Below are 22,543 nucleotides of genomic sequence, written 5' to 3'. Positions count from 1 at the left end.
AACTTTTTAAACACATACGAGTAGAAAGAATAGTACATGAGCCCCCCAAAACCTTTATCATCAACAATCGAACACATTTTTCTGATCTTGTTGCATCCTGTCTCCCACATGTTTTTTCCTTTTAGAATTTTAAAGGATATCTTATAATTACCTCAGATTGCATCTCTGCCTACTAAGAATGTAGGGGGCAGCTTTGATGAACAATTGGTTGTGATTTGTTGACTCATCCAGGCCTCAGGGTTATTGTGACTTAGGTTTGTATGATGTTTCTTCTGCCATTCAAGCTCACCTCTCAAAGGGAGGCTGTTCATTTATGAGAGTGAGGGTACAGAGTGGCTGTATGAGATTCTGTCCAAAATGCCATGCTGCTCACCACTTCTGACCTCATAGGTCAAGGAAACAAAAGGCTTTCTCTCATAGGGTTAATGTTAGTGTTAACTTGGGACATGCTAGTATCACACCCTTAATTTACCAGGGAGGAACTCAAGCTTTAGAGAGCTTACGTGACTTGCTGAAAGTTCCAGAATAATGTTGTCACATTTTAAAGTGTAGGGCTATGGATGTGAAAAAGAAATCTGTTGCTACCACTGGAAGAATCCTGGCATTGGCAGCAGTGCGGTGTAGATGCTGAGTTGTTTGTGGCCAGGGTTGCGTGCCTTTATGCACAACTCTGTTTAGAATTGCATCTCTGATTTCATTTAACAGTTCTTGCTGCAAAGCATTGTTGCAGGTATTGTTTCAAGCATCTGCTTTAGGTCTGGAAATAGTGGCTGGATTTACTTGGGGACCCAAGTGGAAAATCAGATTACAATATCAAGCACAAAATCTTATTTCTTTTTATGACATTCCCTGATTTTTAATACTGCATAAAAATACCACATTAAAAAAAAATATTAGAACTTATGTCATTGGAAATTAAATTCTTATTAACTATGGAAGTTATTTTAAGCCTTTCTTTAAAATCCTCTGAATCTGTGAGTTGGATAAAAGTTTAAGGCATTTGGATAACAAAGATCCAATTATAATTAGCACATAGTTCAAGATAGTAGCGAATTCCTTTTATATCACCACTTCCCAGTATTGTCAGTTCAGACTAGGGTGATGAATATACCATTTTAGTTTAAGATACCTTGCTAAAATGTCCCTGTTTAATTTTCTAAAATATGTGTTATATCTGGCCTTCTTTTTGAAAAAGCTGTATTTCCAATTTGCCCTTTTGAAGATAAAAAGGGTTTTCTGTAGCATAAAAAATGTCAGCTTTACATTTAAATTAGCTTTTAATGAAAAAGAAAGAGACCTCTTTTACCGGTCTGACATTAAATTTCTAATCTCTAGAGTGCAAAAATATGAGCAATGCAGTGTTTTTAGATACCTTATGAAAAAATGCTAAAATTGTTATTTAACCAGATAATAATAAAATCAGGTTTAGAAATATAAACTTCAGTTCAATATGTAAAACATGTGAAGACCATATGAGGTCATTTTCTCTATTTTAATAATCTTAGCATGCATAAGAAATTAACACTCTTGAAGTTGTAAAATCCTTTGTGACTTTTCTTTGATGGAGTGTTAGTCAAATACTGCCCTTCTCCAGTCCTGCTGTACCTCACATAACTGCAGTTCACAAGCACGCTCCTCCCCTATCTCAATGGGAAAAAAAAGCAGGAGACAGAGTGACAATTTTAGATTAAAACATGTGAAAGAGAAGGGTTATAAAGATCATACTGTGTACAGATTCAGTTATTATTATGGCTCAAGTTAAGAACAGACTGGCTTAACGATCAGGCATGTTGTATCTTTTCAAAGCTTGGCAACTCAATGTAATTAGTATAGTAATAACTTCAGTATTCGATACAGCATGATTCTAGTACTTAATAGTGGTTTTCATACACCATTTAAATGATGGCTTTGGCATAATTTATTGTTTATCATCTTTGTAAATATCATTTGGCCTTCCTTGTCAAGATATCCAGCAAAAACTTCCCAGAAACAACTTTAACTCTTTAGCTTTACCATTATATATACTGGTTAAACTCGTTTCTTCTTCAGGGATAAAGAGCATTGTATATCCATATTGAGTCAAACTCTCAATCTCTGTATTGTTGTAAGAATTTGGATGGGATGAATCACTACAGAAATAAACAAGCTGAGAAATGTTCATATCCCATAGACACACAAACCACACACACACTCTCTCTCCCTGCCGTAGAATACAGGTTCTCTAGTGGTCAGAGAATGTCAGCCTAGGAAGGTTTAATGAAAACCATGTACCATTGTTGGTTTAATGAAATGCTTTCCAAGGATATTGATATTCCAGCTCTTTGTGAAATGAGTCAAAATGACTACCGTTTGTAGCTTGGGAAGGGTTCTTGCTGAGCTCAAAGGTGGCTTAACCTCATCCTCTGCTCATTGAGGGAAAGGGATGTGGGAAATGTTTTTATTTCATAGCCAGAAGGAATCTGTAGGAGAGTACTCATGCTGCTTCCCATCTTGGCAAAAACCAGCCTGTGTACCCCATAATATGTCAATTACCTAACATTACACATATACGTGAAAACTCCCAATTGCCCCCAGAAGCTAGTATCTTGGGACTCTCTATTAAAACTCTTAACTATCAGAAAGATCCTAGATTCCTGGGTCAGATGTGGTGCTTTCTGTGCAAGTCCTTTTACCACCCTGAACTCAACACCTCATTTCATAAGGAAGCATGGCATGGTCATACTCCCCAAAGCTATGGTACCTGAGCTCATTTAGAAAGCATTAAGTTGTCACTCAATATTGAGGGTCAACTTGATTGGATTAAAGGATGCAAAATATTGTTCCTGGGTGTGTCTGTGAGGGTGTTGCCAAAGAAGATTAATATTTGGGTCAATGGACTGGGAGAGGCTTGGTGGGCACCATCTAATCAGCTGCCAGCATGGCTAGAATAAAAGCAGGCAGAAGAAAGTGGAAAGAACAGACTTGCTGAGTCCTCTGGCCTTCATCTTTTTCCTGGCTGGATGCTTCCTGCTCTGGAACATTGGACTCCAAGTTCTTCAATGTTTGGACCCTTGGACTTACACCAATGGTTTACCAGGGGCTGTCTGACCTTCAGCCACAGACTGAAGGCTGCACTGTCAGCTTCCCCACTTTTGAGGTTTTGGGACTCGAACTGGCTTCCTTGCTCCTCAGCTTGCAGATGGCCTATTGTGGGACTTCACCTTGTGATCGTGTGAGTCAATACTCCTTAATAAACTCATCTATGCTATGAGTTCTGTCCTTTTCAAGAACCACGACTAATACAGATATTGGTACCGATAGAGTGGGGTGCTGCTATAAAGATACCTGAAAATGTGGAAGTGATTTTGGAACTGGGTAACAGGCAGAGGTTGGAACCGTTTGGAGGGCTCAGAAGAAGATAAGAAAATGTGAAAGAGTTTGGAACTAGAGACTTGGAGGACTCAGAAGACAGGAAGACGTGGGAAAGTTTGGAACTTCCTAGAGACTCATTGAATGGCTTTGACCAAAATGCTGATAGTGTTGTGGACAAAAAAGTCCATGCTGAGGTGGTCACAGATGGAGATGAGGAACTTGTTGGCAACTGGAATAAGGGTGATTCTTGCTATACTTTAGCAAAGAAACTGGTGGCAATTTGACTCTGCCCTAGAGATCTGTGGAACTTTGAACTTGAGAGAGATGATTTAGGGTATCTGGTGGAAGAAATTTCTAAGCGGCAAAGCATTGAAGGGGAAGCAGAACATAAAAGTTTGGAAAATTTGCAGCCTGACAATGTGATAGAAAAGAAAAACCCATTTTCTGGGAAGAAGTTCAATCCCACTGCAGAAATTTGCAGAAGTAACAAGGAGCTAAATGTTAATCACCAAGACAATGGGAAAAATGTCTACAAGGCATGTCAGAGACCTTCAAGGCAGCCCTTCCCATCACAGAGGGAGGGCTAGGAGGGAGAACTGGTTTGCTGTGCCAGGCCCAGGGCTCCCCTGCTCTACACAGCCTCAGGACATGGTGCCCTGAATCCCAGCTGCTTCAGCTCCAGCCATGGCTAAAAGGGGCCAAGGTACAGCTCGGGCCATTACTTCAGAGGGTGCAAACCCCAAGCCTGGCAAGTTTACATGTGGTGTTTAGTCTGTAGGTACACAGAAGTCAAGAATTGAGGTTTGGGAACCTCCGCCTAGATTTTAGAGGATGTATAGAAATGCCTGGATGTCCAGGCAAAATTTGCTGCAGGGGCAGAACCCTCATGGAGAACTGCTGCTAAGGCAGTGCAGAAGGGAGATGTGGGGTTGGAGCCCCCACACAGAGTCCCCACTGGGACACTGCCTAGTGGAGCTATAAGAGGAGGGCCATTGTCCTTCAGACCCCAGGATGGTAGATCTGCTGACAGCTGTTGCTATGTGCCTGGAAAGGCTGCAGACACTCAACATCAGCCTGTGAAAGCAGCCGGGAGGGGGTCTGTACCCTGCAAAGCCACAGGGGCAGAGCTGCCCAAGGCTGTTAGAGCCTACCTCTTGTATCAGCATGACCTGAATGTGAGACATGGAGTCAAAGAAGATCATTTTAGAACTTTAATATTTGGTTAGGCTGGGCATGGTGGCTCATGCCTGTTATCCCAGCACTCTGGGAGGCCAAGGCGGGTGGATCACTTGAGGTCAGGGGTTCAAGACCAGCAGCCAACATGGTGAAACCCCATCTCTATTTAAAATACAAAAATTAACTGGGCATGGTGGCACACACCTATAATCTCAGCTACTCGGGAGGATGAGGCAGGAGAATCGCTTGAACCCAGGAGGCAGAGGTTGTAGTGAGCTGAGATCACACCACTACACTCCAGCCTGGGTGAAAAAGCAAGACTCCATTGCAAAAAAAAAAAAAAGATTTGGTGACTTCCCTGTTGGATTTCGGACTTGTGTGGGGCCTGTAGCCCCCTTGTTTTGGCAAGTTTCTCCCATTTGGAATGGGTGCATTTGCTCAATGCCTGTACCCCCATTGTATCTGGGAAGTAACTAACTTGATTTTGATTTTGCAGGCTCATAGGTGGAAGAGACTTGCCTTGTCTCAGATGAGGCCTTGGACTTGGACTTTTGGGTAAATGCTGGAATGAGTTAAGACTTTGGGGGACTGTTGGAAAGGCATGATTATGTTTTGAAATGTGAGGACATGAGATTTTGGAAGGCTGGGGATGGAATGATATGGTTTGGCTGTGTCCCCACCCAAATCTCATCTTGAATTCTAGTTCCCATAATCCCCATGTGTTGTGGGAGGCACCTGGTAGGAGGTAATTGAATCATGGGGGTGGTAACCCTTATGCTGCTGTTCTTGTGATAGTGAGTGAGTTCTCATGAGATCTGATGGTTTTATAAGGGGCTTTTCCCCCTTTGCTTGACATTTCTCTCTCCTGCTGTCCTGTGAAGAGGTGCCTTCTGCCATGATTGTAAGTTTCCTGAGGCCTCCCTAGCCATGAGGAGCTATGAATCAATTAAACCTCTTTTCTTTATAAATTACCTAGTCTTGGGTATTTCTTCATAGCAGCACGAGAAGAGACTAATACATTCAGCTCTTCATGAGATGTGTTGGAGGGGAAAAGAGACTACATCCCCAAGTAGATACATGCTAATGTTAGTAACTCTGGCTTTTCTCTTTGGCTCTCTACAGAAGTAAGTGACTGAATTATCTCTTGTAACACACTTAATTCCTTTTCTCTGCTTTCTTTCCCTTCCTGTCTTTTCTTGGTAGTGGAGGGAATACCATATGGTGGATAGAGGCACCTTAACTTGTTTCTTTTAGACATTGTTCCTAAGATGAGTTTTTGCCATTAAGGAAATACCCCTTGGCATACTTTCTTTTATTCTAGAGACATTTTACTTTGTTTATGTTATCATTGTTAGTAAAAATGAACAAAAAATAAGTAATTTTGAATGATTCATTTAATCAATAAACATTGATGGGTGGCTACAGATATGAGTCAGATATGTGGCATACAACCAGAATACAGGTCATATAGTAGGACCCTTATGAAGGAGAGTCAGCGGAATGAAGAGATTCCTTTTGACTCTGTGGAGCATGGAAGGTTCCATGGAGTTTGAGGTATTTGAGCTGAGCCTTGAAAATGGTTAGCAGAGAGATATTTGGGAGGGGGAGTAGAACGTACACAAAGATAGGAAAGCTTGGAGTGCTGCTGGGCCTTTTTATCCAAACAGTAGAAGGTTCTACAAGAAATAGTGGGGGAAAAGGCCAGGAGCTGACTAAGATTGCCATATCCCTGAACTCTTTATGGTAATATATTATTTTCTCAATCATTTTGGTTTTGCAACTCATTTATTATGGACTTTCTGTATATAAAAACTTAATCCAGTCATCTTCACTTTAAATGTCAGTGCAGATTTGGCTGCCTTCTTCTAGGGCTGGGTAAGATGTGATTCTGGGAACAATTTCTGTCCCTGATAAACCTGTATATAAGGATATTTGACACTATGACTTAACCAGGATTTCCTAACTTTTAACCTCAATATAAAGTGCATGGCTATCTGTAAACTCTAGCCTGCCGTTCAAGTCCCTCCACAATAGTAAATAATATTTATTTACTATTGTTTTATAAGTAAAACAATAGTCATAATAATAGTGATAAACTAACAGAATCCAAAATACCAATATTGTTGTGCTTACTGAGTAGACAAGGTGGATTAGGGTTTTATGAGCACAGTCTCAGTGCTTCAGATGTTGCTATTACAATTTTCAGTCTAATGTTAAAGGTGTTCATGCTACTGATTATTTTCCACCTCCTATGAGGCAACAAATAGGTGAGGCCATGTGAACAGCTTAAATGGCCATAGTGGGAAATAACCTAGAGTTCAAACCCAAGGGAGAAGTTCATGGAGTCACTGAGTTGTATGTTACACCATTGATTTAATAACTGCTTTGTACCACATGAAATGCCCCATCCATTGCAAGAAGCAGCATGTGTTCCAAAGTGTTCTAAGTGAAAATAAAGCCTGTCACAGAATCAAGGACAAAGGGAAATTATACTTGTATCTTAGGGATGAGGTCAAGGTCATAGACTGAAGTATCAATAAGTCAAAAAACCAAGCCAAGGATTCAGGCTGGATGGAAAGATGAAGCAGGAATTGAGGGGTGTGGGCACAGGTTGGAATTGGGGGCTTGGAATTGGGAGGTTGGAATTAGGTTGTCCTTCACAGATTGAATTGAGCATAATATGTCCTGCAACAGAAGGTAGAGGAGGATGCTATGACCAAGGTTAGCCCAGCAAAGTCATGAGTGTAAGGCCCTGGAAGGCTTTGTCCATTTTTGTTCAGGTTTGGAGTAATGTGTTCTGTGGCCCTTCACTGACTGGTCAGAGGAAGGAGGCAGGTGGGGCACCACCCACTCTGCAGCAGGATTTCTGAGGTTGATGGTCAGGTCCTTTGTGATACCTTTGCAGGTCTAGCTGTTGTTTGCAGTCTGTGGTCTTCCACAATCCCATACTCACTGTACAGTCTTATATCGTGTTGCTTCTTTTCCTTGTTATTCCCACACTAAATCTCTGATATTACTGAGAAGCAATATTAAATCTTTTAGGGTACCTACATTTTTATAGAGCCTGATTCTAAAGGTATATTATTTGTGTTGAACTTTGAAAGAAATCAAATTAGTGGCATCTGTTGTATATCTCTGCTCAATGTTTATTTTATTTTATTTTTATTTATTTATTTATTTTTGAGATGGAGTCTCACTCTGTCTCCCAGGCTGGAGTGCGTCTCAGCTCACTGCAACCTCTGCCTCCTGGGTTCAAGCAATTCTCCTACCTCAGCCTCCCGAGTAGCTGGGATTACAGGTGGGGCACCACCACACCCAGCTAATTTTTGTATTTTTAGTACAAACAGGGTTTCGCCATGTTGGCCAGGCTAGTCTCAAACTCCTGAGATGTTTATTTTTTAAAAAAACAATTCAAGACCATGTACATTAAAAAAAAAAAAAAAAGGACATGATATTGTGGGCACAAAGTTATGCAGTAAAGGACTTATTTCTTATTTATTACTGGGTAAGTAAACCTAGTACAATATCTGGTACTCAGTAGATGCTTAATAAATTTTGGTTCAATTGAACAGGGTATTTGTATTATTTAAAGCATTATCTTTTGAACATGATTTGTGCGTGCTGTTTATTCTAAGGTCTAAGTCATAATGGTTATAAATAATAGTATTTATTTTAGCAAAACCCTTTAGGAATTAATTAAGACTAATATTTCTAACGCTATAGCTGACATTTTGGTATTACAAACCTCATAAACTTTCACTGGTATCCTCGAATCCATAAAATGTTTTTCACATCCATGGGCAAAAGATTTAGAAAGGGGTCATCGTAAGTTCAAAGTGTATAGCCAAAAAGCATGAGCTCATTAACCAAATGGGGAACAGACAATAAAAATAGAAAAGTATGTTTCTTTTTTATAAAACATTCAGAGACAAAAAAATTTTGTGAAATTTTGTGAATGTCCAGGAAGATTTTTCAAATGTACATACTGCAGTAGCACACAGAGTAACTTCTTTCTGATTCAATTTCATAAATTGCTACATGAAGAAGCACCCTCTAGTAGATAATACTCAGAAATCAGCACTTAATATGGCAGTAATGGTTATTGCTGTCATTCTTTACATCTTTAAAAATAATTAAGCATTACTGCACAGGCATTATAAAGTTCCCCTATCACCATTAAGAGGATATTTGAGGTTTGATGTAATTTTGCAAATTACATTATACAGTAGTTAAGGTTTTTATGTAGTGAAGTAAAATGCGTAGTAGTTAAGCACACTTACTATATAATGCATTGTAGAGTTACACGTTCCAGCTGCTGCCAGCTTTGTTCCAGTGTCATTATTGCTTTGCAGGCTGACGTTCCTCAGGGAGTGATTCGAGTGCAAGCTCCCCATCTTTCGAAAGTTTCCATGGCAATACAGCTAACTGAAGAACTAAAAGCCAGTGATGTACTTGCCAGGTTTCTCAGCCAAGAAAGGTAGAGGCCTGTTTTGTGTTAATTATGCCATGGCATAAGTCACTTGCTCTCTCTCTCTCGCCTTCGCTGCTGCTTCTTCTTCCTTTTTTTTTTTTTTGTTTTAATTGTGGGGTAGTATGAAATGCTTAAAAATATTGTCTTCCCAGCAGAAGAGAACAGCAGACTTAACCATTAGACTGTTGGAATGAGTTTAGTTCATTTGATGTGGCTTGTGTTCAGATTGAGCCTGATTCAAGCAGGATTTCTGAGTGTTCCTTCACTGGGCCTGTGATGGGCTTGCCAAGCGAGACCACTCAGTATTCTTTCCAGGATATGTTGATTGGAGGTTAATTACTGTTTGTAGGCTGTAAGGAAAATTACTAATTAGGATGCAGTGGCATTAAAATAAAGAAAAGACACAACTTTTTCTATGAAATATAATGGATTTCAAAATGGTCAAATTTAAAAACAAACCATAAAGAATTGAAAGAGGAAAACCAGGCCTTTGAGCGCTGAAGTCTCAAGGGGAGAACATACCATCCTCATTAAGGACAACAGGTCCTTCATCTATATTTTGGGGTTGATGGGGCAGGGAGAGTCATTTGAAAGCTGCTAGCATCCCTCTCACTATATTAGAGTATGCCCTTTCCAGAACACTTTGCAGTGTCTTCTTATATTTTAGAGATCCTAACAAGTATATTGTATTTTCAGGTTTTGCCCTTTGAATTCTTTCTTTTAGCTGAAGTCATGTTTTCATGCCTCCTCCAGCCTCATTTTCAGTCACTGAAATAAACTAAATGTTTAAAAACAGAGGGACATCCAGGGCATTGGCATCTCAGTTTACGAATACTCTGTCTTGGTCTTTCATTGAATTTAATCTCCTCATTCTAACATTTGGGGGCTTCAATCAAGCTTTCTGCTAAAGCACAAGGCCTTAAACAGAACAGAAACATGTTAAATACTTCTAGTACCATAATTGGAAGGGGAGGTATAAACATATATTTTAAAGTACCTTCCCATAGGGTTTATAAATTGGGAGAAAGGATGAATCTGTGCAGCTAACAGATGGTGATGAAATGAGAGAGAGGCTTATTGGTAATATCTAGGCTTCAATAAGCCAGTGTAAACTTCCCTCAGAACAGCACTCTGAAGTAAGTGCTATTATTACGTCTGCTTCACTGATAAGAAAACAGAGATTTACAAGGTCACACATTTTTCATAGGTGGTAGAGCTGGAATTCTAAATCTGTGGTTTCCCTCCAAAGGTAGTCCCTTAACCATTCTCCACACTGGCTGGAGGATCTACAGAGCATCATAGATCTGGGAACCACTAGTGCAGAGACTGAGAGTAGATGTGTTTTTGGAGATTATGTCCTGAGGGCACTTGGAAGATCTCAGATGTCTTTGCTCCCTATAGTGTCTTGCAGTTTCTGCAAAGTCAATCCACATCCTCTCTGCTCCCTACCTTGACTTAGTAGATACTAACTTTTGCCATTCTTCCCACCAGCCATGCTCTCATTCTCTCCCAGAACGTGTACCTGAAGACCTGGCCAGACTTCAGATATAAGCAGCTCTTTCCAGCCAGACACAGTTAATTTACATTTACTTTCAGGACCCAAGTGCTCAATTTAGTCTGTACTTTTGTTCCTCTACTTGCTAATAATATGAGACTATGAAGCTGTACCCCACATTCAACTGTGACTTTAATATTTAAGGTATAGCATGAAAACAATCATAGTCATATTGTTATAGAAAGCACCAACTTGTGACAACTATCGTCTGACAAATTTGGATTTTCTGCTTGTGGTGTTTGTATTAAATAAGCATTTGCTACCCCCAGAGCAGGGTATCTTCATCCCGCTCTTCCTCCTATTCCTTCTCCACCTAGATGGAAGTCTGGTAAACTTCTCCATTTACCTCACTTCCGCCCCCAGTCCTCAGCCCCTTTCCTTATGCTTGGGGATGTAATCTGGATTTCAAAGCTAACTATTTCTGTTTCACCTTCAGTTAGTTTTTATCATCTCTTTAAGTATCAAGTTCCTCATTTGTAAGAATGGACCAGAATAGCATCTATTATTGTAATTAACTAGGAAAATGACCATGCAGCATATAGCACTGTCTGTCTGGGCCGCATAGTAAGTGAAATTCTGAGTAAATGTTTATATATTTCTTCCACCACATTCCTGTGCTTCTTCCATTTGTATTCCACCTGTGCTGGGGCAGGTAGAAACTCTATATCCTTCCATTCTTTTTCTCCCCCACCTCGTCAACTGAAGCCAATGGACATATGAATGATATACAATATATGTATAATAAATCGCACGTTCATTCATTCTTTGGTAAAGGATTGTTGCCTTTAACGATGAATTTGTTGATTAGCATTACGCAAAAATCTGAATATACCAGGAAATCTAGTTCCTGTTTCTTTAAAGTAGAACACAGGTACTTGAGAATCAGTCTGACAGCAATATCTAACTAGATGTTTTTCTTTAAATCAAGTCTCCTGAAACATTCAATTTGGTTTTCACAGAAATAGGGACTCTCTTTAGACCTATAGTAGTTGATTGTGTTATGTACTAGATTAAAAACAAAAATAATAATGATTAAATTATTTAATTTAAAAGATAAACCTACACTGTAGTTGGAAACAAAGTGGATCAGATGCAGTGCAGCAGGTGGAACATAGCGTGAGGGCCCAGAGAGCCCTGACTGTCCAGTGTGCCAGGGACACAGGGCAGGGAGAGAAAGGAGGAGAACCAGATGAGCCATTCCATGGGTGGTGAGGAGCGCTGCTGCTGTACCATGCTCTTCCTAATGGCTTGAATACAAGTCAGACCTGATTTTCTCTTCTCAGTTCCAGAGAGTGTGTCTTCAGGGCCTTATCTTAGTGGTCCACTAACCTTGCCATGCTTCAGAATCCACTATAGAGCATTTGAAAAGCAGTTTCTTGGGCTTTATCCTAGACCAGTTAAATCTGAGTTTCTAGAGCTCTCCATCTGAATTTTTAGCAGGTTTCTCAGGTAATTCTTTTACAGAAAGATAATGACATAATTTGCTTCCACTCTGAGGGTCTGTGCTGCCCTCATTTGCACAACTGACAGAAGAGAATGGCTTATTCTTTTTTTTTTCTTTTTGGAGACAGGATCTCATTCTGTCACCCAGGCTGGAGTGCAGTGGCACAATCTCAGCTCACTGCAACATCCATCTCCTGGGCTCAAGCAGTCCTCCCACCTCAGCCTCCCGAGTAGCTAGGATCACAGACACTCACCACCATGCACGGCTAAATTTTTTGTATTTTGGGTAGAAATGGGGTTTTGCCATGTTGCCCAGACTGGGCTCAAGCGATCTACCTGCTTTGGCCTCCCAAAGTGCTGGGATTACAGGCATGAGCCTTCACACCCAGTCAGAAGCATGTCTTATTCTTCACATGCATCTTGCACACTACTGGAGTTGTCAGCACAGCAAACCCATGATAAATACTTATTGAATAAGAGTAATGTGAAAACTAAAGTGGAAACATTTAATAGTTTTATGAGGACCATTTTGGCTTGTATACAAAGTGGATAATCATATTAATAATTTGATTGGCAGCGGAAATGTTACATTAACTTTTCTTTTGAATTTTACAAATTTAGATACTGGTTTACTACTTTGCCTTCAGATGTATAATTCCATTTGTTTATTTTAATTTACAGGTGTGATACTTTTATTACCTATTGGGTACATTTAACAGATGGGAAAATACAAACGTGTAGATAATTACAGTGTGTCTAAGTTATGAATTTTCCATACCAGCCAGAATTCCCCAAGCACGTTAAAGTGATTTACTTGCAAGCTGTTTGATGATACAACTAATCGGTTTGTTTTGTCCCTCATAGTGGGGTTGCCCAGACTCTCAAGAAAGGAGAAGTTTTTTTGTATGAAATTGGAGGAAATATTGGTAAGCACTTTTTTTTCTCTTTACATTTTATATGCTGTTTTGATATTGCCAGTGGTTATTATTTATGTCTTTGGAGGAAGAACAGGAAATTAGAAGTAAAATATACCATGCTTTAGATAAGTTGCTGAATATTGTGGATTTCTTTAATGGTTTGACCTTTCTCTTCAGGCTCTGTTTGAGCGCCTGTACAAATGCCCATCTATGTTCAATTTCAGCAAAGGCAAGTTCCCTATACAGTAAGAATAACTCCTGGAATGGTTAATGATGCAAGTTTTTCAAAACTCTCTTCTTTGTAATATACTCATGTCACATAGTAAAGGAAGTAGTTGAGCTTATATAAGGCTAAGATAACACTTTATTATAGTACAGTATTAGATATTTTTAGTAAAAGCAGATTTACTTTTGCCATAGTTGATTTCCTGCTAAATTTTATACACATGCACACACACTCAAATTCACATTAGTAATTTAAAAAATGGAATGAATTAACTTTGACCATGTTTTATATTTTACCCTTTTGTAATTATCAGTGAGTCTTAACCATCTCTTTTTAAAAATTTAAAATAATCTTTTTTTCTTTTTTGACTCTTGGAAATGGTAAGGGTAAAATTATTAAGAAATAAATGAAATCATGTTAAGTTCAAAATAGTAATTAAAAATAATTTTGCAATAAATTTTGTAGGGTGTTTTTGTGGGAATTAAAAATGTTAGTAAATATTAAAAGTTAAATATAGGAATGTGAAGGTTTATTCTTAAATAGGCCATGACACTAGAAACCTGGAATTGTTAACTCTATTAGTAAAGGTTATTTAAATATTAATAGATTTGATTTCTTATTTTCCTTTTAGATCTTGGGAATTAAGTGTAGTTTCTTAGGTGGATTCAAAACCATTGCCCCTCCTAATAAGATGATTAAGCTTTTAAGGAACTATTTAAAAGCCTATCATACAAAGTATTTTCAGCTTCCTAAATTAATTTGAAACCTATTCATTTGGAGAAAGACTACCAAATTTATTTTTCCAATTGTTGGCCAATTCTTACAATATTTTGAGAAACAGGAAAGAATGAGAAGTTTTTTTTTTATTATTATTATTTGTTTTGTTTTGGAGACAGTGTCTGCCTCTGTCACCCAGGCTGAAGTGCAGTGGCGCAATCTCAGCTCACTGCAACCTCCACCTCCTGAGCTCAAGCCATCCTCCCACCTCAGCCCCCTGAGTAGCTGGGACTACAGGTGCAAGCCACCATGCCTAGCTAATTTTTGTATTTTTTGTAGAGATGGGGTTTCATTATGTTGCCCAGGCTGGCCTCAAACTCCTGATCTCAACCAATCTGCCCACCTCGGCCTCCCAAAGTAGAATAAGTATTTTGAAGTCCAAGACTTAAGAGTTAAATAATTAAGCTTAAGTTTAAAATTGCATACCAATCTACCTGCTGTATTAAACTGACACAACATCTATTTTAACAGGGGAACGCTGCCTTGATGATGACACTTACATGAAGGATTTATATCAGCTTAACCCAAATGCTGAGTGGGTTATAAAGTCAAAGCCATTGTAGAAGACTTAACAAGCTGCAGATAACCATGTGGACTTCTGTCATAATTCTTGCTGAGTCAAGAGTGTAAATAAAAGAAATGGCAGGACTCATATTATTCAGTTGTACCCAAGTATTTAAAAATGACTCTCTTAAGCCTTAAAAAGTCATAGATTTGTGCTGCTGCCAGAATTATATTAATTATTATTAATGTTATTATTAGAAAAAAAATTTCTGGAGTGAGAGTAAAGAGGCTTAATTAGTTTGTGGGCAGTTTTCATATGCTCTGTGAAATGTGTCCAGATGTGACATAGTTTTTTTTTTTAATATGTGGAAATGTCTTCTCTTCCCATTCTTTTCTCCTAAAATCATATATACTGTAATATATGCTCTCTCACCTCTATTACCTCCTCACATCTACCCTTTCCCAGTTAGGTTTGCTTTTTGACCAAAAAGATAACAAATACCAGGTATGGCAAGTTGTGAAGACAGCACATTAAAACATACCTAATTTCACAGTATTCCTGTCACGACAGAATGTTAGTATTCATCTCTTTGAATCATTTGCTCAAATAATAACATTCCACCTTTTCCTGCTGTATCACAGGAAGTGATTTGCATTTTTTTTCAGTTCATCTGACTTATGTTCACAGAACCGTATCAGCGACCAAGAAAATAGGACTGTCAGAAGCTGCCAGTTATTACTGAACCATTAAATACTTATATACTAAGAATAAATAAAATATACCCATGTGAAATAATAATTGGATTATGGATAACAAGAGAGTGAAAGCCAAAGCACTTTCTGTCTACTGTACTCTTCTAAATGGAATTTTAAAAGTCATAGCTGGCTTTACGTGTTGTCATTATTAGCATTATAAATATGCATGATAGTATAATCCAGTAATGGTTGAAGAATGTATTTTACTTAAAGAGGGATTTTTTTTTTTAAGTCCTGAATAAGTCTACTGGAAGAATTATTCTTCTGGGTGAAAAAGCTTTTGTTTGTGTTCTTATTTTAAATAATCGGAGTCAATTTATTAAAATGTTCTTGAAAGTACTATTCCCAGGGATTTTAATGCACAAACCATATTGTGACAAGAGATGAGCCTCTGTACTGTAAATAAGAAATGAAGTAGAGAAATGTTAAATATTTTATGAGTTTAGAATATAGTAAATAAAAGGTGATGTAAATGAATGCTGCACAAACGGTGTTCATGATACTTTTAGTAGTACTTTAGGAAAAACTACACATTCTCAGAAGCTCTTGATGTCTCTAATGAAGGGGGGGAATGCTGTTAATGAGAACAGTCATAAATTTTTAGCATATAATTACAAGAACAGCCTGTGGATATGATCACTTAAATGATTTTGTGGTGATTCGTGCCATTGCTTTTTTATTTAAAAGAAAATTTTGTAATTAAATGCCTTTTTCTAAATTATCTTCTCTTGGAATCATTACTTTTAATCCTATGTGTTTATGAGTATTTTTGCTTTTTTTTTATTAATATTGAGAAATGGACTTTTTTGTTATTAAAAGTCACCTCTATTTTCTATTTTCTTTGTAATTTTTAAAGTAGGAAGATGTCAGAGATGTAAATATGTTTTCGTCTTTAGTTTTTTTCCTTTTACAAATTTTTATTCTTCAGGATTTTCAAAATACAGTTTAGTCTGTTTCTTTGACAATATGTATTAATTTCCCAATTAGCAAAATGGTACTTATTAGTGGGTTGAAAACAATTAATAATATAAAAGAAAAATTAAGTGCTTAAAACATTTTAGGAGTATACAACTTCAAAAAAAAAGATAGCAGTGAGGATAATGATTTAAGTAAAAGGTTGTCTGAAGCATATGCCAACTAAATTTCGCAACGTTTGCTACCTACCTGAAAAGGAGGGTCAGGAGGGAGACACAACATATTTTTGATCATGAAAAAGTATCTTAATTTTAAAAAAGTGAAAATGCCATTTTATTTTGAATCCCTTTTAGAACTCACGACCCAAGTTCATCAATGTTGAATAATATCACGTTTAAATAACAAAAAAATATGGACTTTAAAAAATCTCAAATTTTTTAGAGACAGGGTCTTGCTCTGTTTTCCAGATTGGAGTACAGCAGTGCATTCGCGGCTAACTGCAGCCTCAAGCACTGGGGCTCAAGCAAACCTCCTGCCTCAGCCTCGTGAGTAGCTAGGACCACAGGTGCATGCCACCATGCCTGGCTCTAAAGAGAAAAAAAACTTGATACCATAGAGCCTTGAATATAAATATCCTGATGTTAACCTACTGCTTTTGCTGTGATTTTTTTTCCTTAGTGAGTTTTAAATCTCAGGCTAGATTTTTATTTGTTTTTCTGTGTGTGTATGAGACAAAATAAAAATAAATATATTTGCCTTGAGTTTAAAACATTTGAATTCTTAAAGGAGGACTGGTTGTCCTGGTAACGTTGGTGATGCTCTTTTCTGAAAGAGGCTTCATTAATCTGTTCTCACACTGCTAGGAAGAAATACCTGAGACTGGGTGAGTTATAAAGAGGTTTAATTGACTTACATGGCTGGGGAGGCCTCAGGAAACTTACAGTCATGGCAGAAGGGTAAGCAAACATGTCCTTCACATGGTGCCAGGAAGGAGAAGGATGAGAAGCACAGGGTGAAGCGGGGAAAAGCCCCTCACAAAACCATTAGATCTTGTGAGAACTCACAATCACAAGAACAGCACGGGGAACTGCCCCCATGATTCAGTCACTTCCCACAAGATCCTTCCCCCAACATATGGGGATTACAATTCAGATTACAATTCAAGATAAGATTCGGGTGGAGACACAGAGCCAGACTGTATCAGAGGTCATTGTAATTCTTTGCACTTACACAATCTTTGCTTAATGCTGCTGTAGGATTCGATGTAAATTCCTTACTAGTACTCTCTGGGAAAGGCAGATTATTTTACCGACTTCAAGGAATTTTTCATTATTGTCTGTCTTCGTTTTCATTAAACTGGTTTGGACTCTCCATCTGATTGTCCTGATTTCTCACCTACTCATCAGTAGGTGGCAGTATTGGTCAGGCATTCCTTTGAATCGAAACTACGGGAAGTTTTTAAAATGAACCCGAGTTCATAGGGAAGTTGCTAAGACTCAGTGCCAGGCATCTGCAAGGCAGCTAGGTAAGAACACTGTGGAGCTCTTGCTTTGATTACCGATTCTGAAATTGTAAATAATTTCAGAGTTTCTATGTTCAATCTGTTTGTCTGCTTTTATCCTTAATCCATTGAATGGGAAGGGCGGTAGAAGAGGACATTTTTCTAAGCTGAAATTAGGCTTTTCACAACGTCCATTTCAAGCAGAACGATTATGACAAGAAGGAAGGCAGTGAACCGGGAAAGTAAGTGAAGGGATGTCTAAGATAAGAAGGCATAATTAACTTTTTTTTTTTTTAATATAGTTTAAGTTCTGGGATACATGTGCAGAACGTGCAGGTTTGTTACACAGGTATATATGTGCCATGGTGTTTTGCTGCACCCATCAACCTGTCATATACATTAGGTATTTCTCCTAATGCTATCCCTTCCCTAGCCCCCCAACCTCTGACAGGCGCTGGTGTGTGATGTTCCACTCCCTGTCTCCATGTGTTCTCGTTATTCAATTCCCACTTACGAGTGAGAACATGCGGTGTTTGGTTTTCTGTTCCTGTGTTAGTTTGCTGAGAATGATGGTTTTCAGCTTTATCCATGTCCCTGCAAAGGACATGAACTCATCCTTTTTTATGGCTGCATAGTATTCCATGGTGTATATGTGCCACATTTTCTTTATCCAGTCTATCATTGATGGGCATTTGTGTTGGTTCCAAGTCTTTGCTATTGTGAACAGTGCTGCAGTAAACACACGTGTGCATGTGTCTTTATAGTAGAATGGTTTATAATCCTTTGGGCATATAGCCAGTAACGGGATTGCTGGGTCAAATGGTATTTCTGCTTCCAGATCCTTGAGGAATCACCACACCGTCTTCCACAATGGTTGAACTAATTTACACTCCCACCAACAGTGTAAAGTGTTCCTATTTCTCCACATCCTCTCTAGCATCTGTTGTTCCCTGACTTCTTAACGATCACCATTCTAACTGGCATGAGATGGTATCTCATTGTGGTTTTGATTTGCAATTCTCTAATGACCAGTGATGATGAGCTTTTTTTCATGTTTGTTGGCTGCATAAATGTCTTCTTTTGAGAAGTGTCTGTTCATATCCTTCACCCACTTTTTGATGGGGTTGATTTTTTCTTGTAAATTTGTTTAAGTTCCTTGAAGATTCTGGATGTTAGCCCTTTGTCAGATGGATAGACTGCAAAAATTTTCTCCCATTCTGTAGGTTGTCTGTTTACTCTGATGGTAGTTTCTTTTGCTGTGCAGAAGCTCTTTAGTTTAATTAGATCCCATTTGTCCATTTTGGCTTTTATTGCCATTGCTTTTGGTGTTTTAGTCATGAAGTCTTCACCCATGCCTATGTCCTAAATGGTATTTCCTAGGCTTTCCTCTACAGTTTTTATGGTTTTAGATCTTATATTTAAGTCTTTAATCCATCGAGTTAATTTTTGTATAAGGTGTAAGGTAGGCGTCCAGTTTCAGTTTTCTGCATATGGCTAGCCAGTTTTCCCAACGCTATTAAATAAGGAACCCTTTCCCCATTGCTTGTTTTTGTCAGGTTTGTCAAAGATCAGATGGTTGTAGATGTGTGGCGTTATTTCTGATGCCTCTGTTCTGTTTCATTGGTCTATATATCTGTTTTGGTACCAGTACCATGCTGTTTTGGTTACTGTAGACTTGTAGTACAGTTTGAAGTCAGGTAGCATGACGTCTCCAGCTTTGTTCTTTTTGCTTAGGATTGTCTTGGCTATACGCGCTCTTTGTTGGTTTCATATGAAATTTAAATTATTTTTTTCCAATTCTGTGAAGAAAGTCAATGATAGCTTGATGGGGATAGCATTGAATCTATAAATTACTTTGGGCAGTATGGCCATTTTCACGATATTGATTCTTCCTATCCGTGAGCATGGGATGTTTTTCCATTTGTTTGTGTCCTCTCTTATTTCTGTGAGCAGTGGTTTGTAGTTGTCCTTGATGAGGTCCTTCATATCCCTTGTAAGTTGTATTCCTAGGTATTTTATTCTGTTTATAGCAATTGTGAATGGGAGTTCACTCATGATTTGGCTCTCTGTTTGTCTATTATTGGTGTATAGGAATGCTTGTGATTTTTGCACACTGATTTTGTATCCTGAGACTTTGTTGAAGTTGCTTATCAGCTTAAGGATATTTTGGGCTGAGATGATGGGGTTTTCTAAATATACAATCATGTCATCTGCAAACAGAGACAATTTGACTTCCTCTCTTCCTATTTAAATACGCTTTATTTCTTTCTCTTGCCTGATTGCCCTGGCCAGAACTTCCAATATTATGTTGAATAGGGTGATGAGAGAGGACATCCTTGTCTTATGCTGGTTTTCAAAGGGAATGCTTCCAGCTTTTGCCTATTCAATATGATATTGGCTGTGGGTTTCTCATAAATGGCTCTTATTATTTTGAGATATGTTCCATCAATACCTAGTTTATTGAGAGTTTTTAGCATGAAGGTGTGCTGAATTTTATCAAAGGCCTTTTCTGAATCTATTGTGATAATCATGTGGATTTTGTCATTGGTTCTGTTTATGTGATGGATTATGTTTATTGATTTGTGGATGTTGAAGCAGACTTGCATCCCAGGGATGAAGCCAACTTGATCGTGGTGGATAAGCTTTTTGATGTGCTGCTGGATTCAGTTTGCCAGTATTTTATTGAGGACTTTCACATCGATGTTCATCAGGGTATTGGCCTGAAATTTTATTTTGTTGTTGTGTCTCTGCCAGGTTTTGGTATTAGGATGATGCTAGCCTCATAAAATGAGTTAGGGAGGAGTCCCTCTTTTTCTATTGTTTGGAATAGTTTCAGAAGGAATAGTACCAGCTCCTCTTTTTAGCTCTTGTAGAATTTGGCTGTGAATCCATCTGGTACTGAGCTTTTTTTGGTTGGTAGCCTATTAATTACTGTGTCAATTTCAGAACTTGTTATTGGTCTATTCAGGGATTCGACTTCTTCCTGGTTTAGTCTTGGGAGGGTGCATGTGTCCAGGAATTTATCCATTTCTTCTAGATTTTCTAGTTTATTTGTGTGGAGGTGTTTACAGTATTCTCTGATGGTAGTTTGTATTTCTGTGGAATCAGTGGTGATATCCCCTTCATCATTTTTTATTGTGTCTATTTGATTCTTCTTTTTTCTTTAGTAGTCTGGCTAGTGGTCTATCTATTTTGTTAATCTTTTCAAAAAAAAAAACAGCTCCTGGATTCATTGATTTTTGAAGGGTTTTTCATGTCTCTATCTCTTTCAGTTCTGCTCTGATCTTAGTTATTTCTTGTCTTCTGCTAGCTTTTGAATTTTGTTTGCTCTTGCTTCTCTAGTTCTTTTAATTGTGATGGTAGGGTGTCGATTTTAGATTTCTCCTGTTTTCTCCAGTGGGCATTTAGTGCTATAAATTTCCCTCTAAACACTGCTTTAGCTGTGTCCCAGAGATTCTGGTGTGTTGTGTCATTGTTCTCATTGATTTCAAATAACTTACTTATTTCTGCTTTAATTTCGTTATTTGCCCAGTAGTCATTCAGGAGCAGATTGTTCAGTTTCCATGTAGTTGTGTGGTTTTGAGTGAGTTTCTTAATCCTGAGTTCTAATTTGATTGCACTGTAGTCTGAGAGACTATTGGTTATGATTTCAGTTATTTTGCATTTGCTGAGAAGGGTCTTACTTCCAATTATGTGGTCAATTTTAGAATAAGTGCAATGTGCTGAGAAGAATGTATATTCTGTTGATTTAGGGTGGAGAGCTCTGTAGATGTCTATTAGGTCCACTTGGTCCAGAGCTGAGTTCAAGTCCTGAATATCCTTGTTAATTTTCTGTCTCATTGATCTAATATTGACAGTGGGGTGTTAAAGTATCCCACTATTATTGTGTTAGAGTCTAAGTCTATTGGTAGGTATCTAAGAACTTGCTTTATGAATCTGGGTGGTCCTGTATTGTGTACATATATATTTAGGATGGTTAGCTCTTCTTGTTGAATTGATCCCTTTACTGTTATGTAATGCCCTTCTTTGCATTTATTTAAATCCTCGTTGGTTCGTTTTGTCAGAGACTAGGATTGCAACCCCTGCTTTTTTTTTTTTTTTTTTTTTTGCTTTCTATTTGCTTGGTAAATATTCCTCCATCCCTTTATTTTGAGCCTGTGTGTGTCTTTGCATGTGCGATGGGTCTCCTGAATACAGCACACTGATGGGTTTTGACTCTTTATCCAATTTGCCAGTCTGTGTCTTTTAATTGGGGAATTTAGCCCATTTACATTTAAGGTTAATATTGTTATGTATGAATTTGATCCTGCCATTATGATGATAGCTGATTATTCTGCCCATTCATTGATGCAGTTTCTTCATAGTGTCAATGGTCATTAAAATTTGGTATGTTTTGCAGTGGCTGGTACCAGTTTTTCCTTTCCATATTCAGGAGCTCTTGTAAGGCAGGCCTGGTGGTGACAAACTCTCTCAGCATTTATTCGTCTGTAAAGGGTTTTATTTCTCCTTCGCTTATGAAGCTTAGTTTGGCTGGATATGAAATTCTGGGTTGAAAATTCTTTCCTTTAATAATGTTGAATATTGGCACCCACTCTCTTCTGGCTTGTATGTTTTCTGCAGAGAGATCTGCTGTTAGTCTGATGGGCTTCCCTTTGAGGGTAACCCGACCTTTCTCTCTGGCTGCCCTTAAGATTTTTCCTTCATTTCAACCCTGGTGAGTCTGACAATTATGTGTTCTGGGTTGCTCTTCTTGAGGAGTATCTTCATGGCGTTCTCTGTATTTTCTGAATTTGAATGTTGGCCTGCCTTGCTAGGCTGGGGAAGTTCTGCTGGATAATATCTTGAACTGTGTTTTCCAACTTGGTTCCATTCTCCCTGTCCCTTTCAGGTATACCAGTCAAATGTAGGTTTTCTTTTTGGTCTTTTCACATAGTCCCATATTTCTTAGAGG

The 22,543-nt window shown here is 38.3% G+C and overlaps 1 protein-coding gene across 1 annotated transcript in view; it reads left to right on the top strand.

Moving 5' to 3' along the window:
- The window catches only part of ARHGAP18 (Rho GTPase activating protein 18), a 134,046-nt gene extending 117,186 nt beyond the window's left edge, over positions 1–16,860 (top strand). The window contains exons 13-15 of the mRNA NM_033515.3: positions 8,880–9,004; positions 12,861–12,922; positions 14,388–16,860. Of these exons, the coding sequence (NP_277050.2) occupies positions 8,880–9,004; positions 12,861–12,922; positions 14,388–14,479 (279 nt within the window). The 3' untranslated portion in view covers positions 14,480–16,860. The remainder of the gene's footprint in view (positions 1–8,879; positions 9,005–12,860; positions 12,923–14,387) is intronic.
- The last annotated feature ends 5,683 nt before the right edge of the window (positions 16,861–22,543 follow it).

Source organism: Homo sapiens, chromosome 6, assembly GCF_000001405.40.
Source record: "Homo sapiens chromosome 6, GRCh38.p14 Primary Assembly".
NCBI lineage: Eukaryota > Metazoa > Chordata > Mammalia > Primates > Hominidae > Homo > Homo sapiens.
This window is presented reverse-complemented; position numbering and strand designations above follow the sequence as displayed.